The 4,917-nt window shown below is 36.5% G+C and overlaps 1 annotated feature.

Moving 5' to 3' along the window:
* Nucleotides 890–1,391: an enhancer, noted in NCBI's record as "NANOG hESC enhancer chr8:138749730-138750231 (GRCh37/hg19 assembly coordinates)". NCBI's record gives its function as "activates a minimal SCP1, AML or CMV promoter by ChIP-STARR-seq in naive H9 embryonic stem cells {active_cell/tissue: H9 hESC(naive)}" and the evidence as "EXISTENCE:reporter gene assay evidence [ECO:0000049][PMID:30033119]".

The raw sequence follows: 4,917 nt of genomic DNA, 5'->3' as shown, positions 1-4,917 counted from the left end.
GATAGCATTACCAGAAATATCTAATGTAGATGACAGGTTGATGGGTGCAGCAGAGCACCATGGCACGTGTATACCTATGTAACAAACCTGCATGTTCTGCACATATATCCCAGGACTTAAAGTATAATAATAAGAAAAAAGAATGATGATTACCAAGGTCTGGGAATGGTAGTTGGTATGGGAATGGGGATGGTTAATAGGTTAAAAAAAATACATAGAATGAATAAGGTCTGGTACAATGGGGTGCTTACAGTCAATAATAATTTATTGTACATTTAAAAATAACTGAAAGTATAATTGCAGTGTTCGTAAGACAAAGAAATGGTAAGTGTTTGAGGTGATGGATACCCTGTTTTTCATTATGTGATTATTATGCACTGTATTCCCGTTCAAAATATGTCATGTACCCCATAAATGCACATATCTACCATGTACACCAAAAATTAAAAATGAAAAATTTTTAAAGTATACAAATGAAAAAATTTAAAACAACAGGTCTCTGGGTCAGGATCAGATAACCACATCACAGAGAAAAGCATATTGAAAGCCTCTGAGCGCCCAAACTAAAGGGACTTACCTAGGGTACAAAATCAACTTTCCAAATAAGATAATTCTTTGCTTGGAGAACTGAAGATCAGAAACCAGGATGAAACTGGCCCAATTTTAAACTTACATCCTTTCTTAGAAAATCGACTTTCAGGCCTCCCAGATGATATTAGGGAGATGAGGCTACTGGGATCCCCACACCTGGGCAATAAGACACATCTGCTGCCTATTGACCAATTCCCCTTCCTTACCTTATCTCTCTCTAGTTTCTATTTTTCTGCCTGTGGTTACAGTGAAATACTAGAGTCCTTATCTGACCACCTGCTGCTTGTTAACCAACTCCACTTCCCTGCCTCTCTTTCTTCCTTCTCCGTTGTGTAAACCCCTAACTTTTGTCAGAGAGGAGAAACGGATTTGAGATTTGGCTCCAATCTCTCTGGCAGATGTTACTCATAAAATAAAGTGTTTTCTTTTTTTCTTTCCTGGTGATGCTCATTGTTTCGGTGACTGGTTTTCTGTGTGGTAAGCAATGGGATTTGGACCAAACCCCTGGGGTTTGGTAACAATTACATGACATGGATCAACAGCAATCCAGCTGCTCTCCTCTCAAAAGCCAAAACTTGAGACATGAGGGTTGGTGGGAGGAAAAGCAGGTTTAGTCGCAGAGGCAACAAACTGAGAATATGGTGGACTAGCATCTCAAGTTGGTACAAATTTCAGGCTCTTTTTCTGTTAAGGACAGGGGGAAAAGAGCGGGTTGGGATCAGGAGGTGACTGATGATCTCAGACATCTGGGCACCAGAGAGGGTCCAAGGAGGTTGGGAACACCTTTGTCTTTAGTCAGTTCATGATGCTCCTATTAACTCAACAAAACATTTTTAGTTGTTAACATACTTCTTCTTTAATCCCAGAGTTAGTTTCAAAAACTATATGATTGCTGTTTTTGCATTTTATCTCTGTGTTCTAAAATTATCCTAGCCTGTGTTGAGGAATGAGTAAAGGCCCTTAAACAAAAATGGAGTGTTACATTAGTTTATTTGTTGTTGCACTGTTAGATTTTCCCCATCTTTTTGTTTTAAAGACAATGGCATTTGTAAAAGCCTATGGGCTGGAAAATCTTTGGATACTCACTTCTCTTGTTCTTAAAAGAATCAAACAAATAAGGAAACTGAAGGCTGATAAATACAATTTTTGACAATTTGATTTTTAAGTTTCCTTTTCACTATTTGATGGGCTTTTGATAGTGGAAAGAGAAAAAGAAAAAGAAATATGGAGAGAGAGAGAGAGAGAGAGAGAACAAACATAAAACTTGAAAGAAAACTCCACACCTCTGCAGATAGGCACATATGAATGACTCCCCACGCCAGCATGCTACATATGAGAACTAGAAACTATGAGTAGAAAAAGTTGCTTATTGGTGGAAATGGCTCAATAATAATAGTGAAAAAATTGTATTGAATATATAGGAATATAGGATCCTTACTTGCTCTTCATGTACCAAAGGCCATTGATTGGTTGGACTGATGTTACAAATTTATTAGTCAGTAAGGAATATTAGAATTTAAAAGGAAAATACTAGGTGAATCCCAAGTCATTAGAGAAGCAATTCAAAGATAATCCATTGACATTATTTTAGAGTACATAATATTTGATTCAATGATTCGTTCTTTAGGGGATTTGTCTTAATACATTAAGTGTGTGTTTGTGTTTGTGTGGGTGCCTGCAATGTTCAGTATGTACAATAGTGTTGTCCTACCTGGGAAACAGGTGAATATACCAACCAACAGCCTGAAAGAAACCTACTGCAACTGACCTGCAAATATTTGCTATTGTAGGCCACTAAGATTTGTGGGATTATGTGTAAGGCAGTATTATATATAGCAGGAATCTGATTTATCAATTCAGCAGATGATAAATTAATTTGATAAGTCTGACTTCAAAAAACAAGGCTCTGTCTCTGGCAAAGATACTCAGGGTTATAATTTGAATTGATTAAGTGAAGATTATTAACTTACCTTTAGAATATTGGCTCACAAAGTAATATTCCAACTCTTCAAATTTTACCATTTCTATTTTAGATGTTCCGTTCCCTTGACTTCTTTGGTTTTGGTAAAAATAAAAATAGATATTCATATTTTTCCAAATTATTTTTGAATTATAGCCACCTTTTCAGGCAGATTCTACACATAACTACAATTCATTTCTTTAGCCAAAGGATAACTGGGCTTTCGAGCATTTAATAAGAAATCAAGGGGCTGCAAGTTCCAGAAGAATATTGTGAATGTAGGAGAAATCCTAAGATTCTTGGACAATAGCCAACACAATGGAATATTCTCCCTGTTACCTCCAAGAAACCTGACTTCCTAGTCCAGAGTTTGTACTAATAAGGTTTGAAGTATTGGCAAATTCATGTCTATTTTCTGGTTTTAATATTTTCAGTCAAATAGTTGGATGAGTAGAATAGTGCTGCAGAGTTTATACCCTTCATTGGTGACTTGGGCATACCAAATTGAATAGGAGATAGGGAATGGGGGATCAGATTGAGGTAAAAATGTCCAGAAACCTTTGCTCTTGATTCAAATGTATAAAAAATCCATCTTTAATCTATTTTTCCTATTGAGACTACAGGTAATTTCTTAATGAGAGGTCCACAGCTAAAAACATTAAAAATCCTTGGGAGGCCGAGGTGGGTGGATCATGAGGTCAGGAGATCGAGACCAACCTGGGTAACACGATGAAACCCCGTCTCTACTAAAAATACAAAATATTAGCGGGGCGTGGTGGCGGGCGCCTGTAGTCCCAGCTACTCCGGAGGCTGAGGCAGGAGAATGGCTTGAACCCGGGAGGCGGAGCTTGCAGTGAGCCGAGATTGTGCCACTGCACTCCAGTCTGGGTGACAGAGTGAGACTCCGTCTCAAAAAAAAAAAAAAAAAATTAAAAAATCCATTAGCTGAAACAGTTTCAAGCATTCTTTCTACATAAAATTCTCACAGACCCTAGTAAAGGAAGATGCAATAAAGATTTTAAGTTTGAAGGTGAAAATTACCTTTTTTGCTGCTTTAATTTCAGTTTAATTTTTACTTTGAGGAAATAGTAAATCTTTATTCCTACAGCAGTCTTTCTCTGTCATTCCATCTTTTGTTTTAGTTTTGTGATAACCCTTCCCCAGTTTATTAAGTCAACAGCATGCTCCAGATATGATGTAGACATATTATTGTTTTAGGAAAGTCTGTAAGCAATTGCAATCAACAATTTATGCCATACCTTAAAGGATAATAACTGTGATTCATTTTAGAAATGGTTGTTATAATCGAACCATTAAAATTCCATGACAAACTGCCATTCACAAACATTAAAATGAAACAGTGCCTGTTTTGAAGATTTTCTTAAATAGTGAAAACTGTTCTGTTAGCTATTTGCTTTGTCAAAGAACATTAAGTCTCACCACGGCAGATTCCAGCAGAGTCAAGTTTCTCTAAAGTTGTAGCTTAATCAAACATTTGCTAATGAAAATTAATGAAAGTGATATAACTTTCTTAATTCAAAAAGTCTTACAGAAGACATAAGGGATCTACAAAAATATATGTTAAGATTGAAAATAAATTGACCAAAGATTATTAGGCCAAGAAGTTTCAATTAAGTAATGCAAAGAAGTGTCCTGATTTGCCACCAGAAATAGAACTTACGTGTCCATGGAGTAAATGGATGACTCAACCAGGAGACCAAATTAGATTCTTTTATGTTAACAATTTATAAAAACTTAACCTGAAAAACACTGTGTGTTTCTGGGTCCTGGATCTCTCATCTACCAGCTGAAAGTCTTGGACTATGTATTGTTTGAGACACTCTTAAAGTTATGATCATGTAATGAGAAAGTTATGATACTAATTAACATATGATATTTGCTTCATCCCCTAGACTGAACTCAAATTGTATTGTGTCCATGTTTTGTCAAAAATGCATTTAATATATCTCCTTAACTTTTAGCATACAGACTAAATTCCTTACTTGGCATGTATATAGTAACTTAGTCTATTTGTGCTACAGTAACAAAATACCTAAGACTGGGTAATCTGTAAGTAATAGACATTTATTTCTCACAGTGCTGGGGATAGAAGGTCCAAGATCAAGATGCAGGGAGGTTTGGTGTCTAGTGATGCCTGCTCTTTTTTGAAGTTGGTGACTTTTTACTATAATCCTCCCACGGCCAAAACAGATGGAGGTTAAAAAGGATGACCTCACCCCTTCAAACATTTTATAAGCGCTCTAATCCCATCCCCTAGCATCAGAGCTCTCATGGCCTTATCACCTACTACTAAAGGCTCTGCCCCTTAGTACTGTTGCATTGCGGATAAAGCTGCAACATAAATT

This window comes from Homo sapiens, chromosome 8, assembly GCF_000001405.40.
Source record: "Homo sapiens chromosome 8, GRCh38.p14 Primary Assembly".
NCBI classification, from domain to species: domain Eukaryota; kingdom Metazoa; phylum Chordata; class Mammalia; order Primates; family Hominidae; genus Homo; species Homo sapiens.
This window is presented reverse-complemented; position numbering and strand designations above follow the sequence as displayed.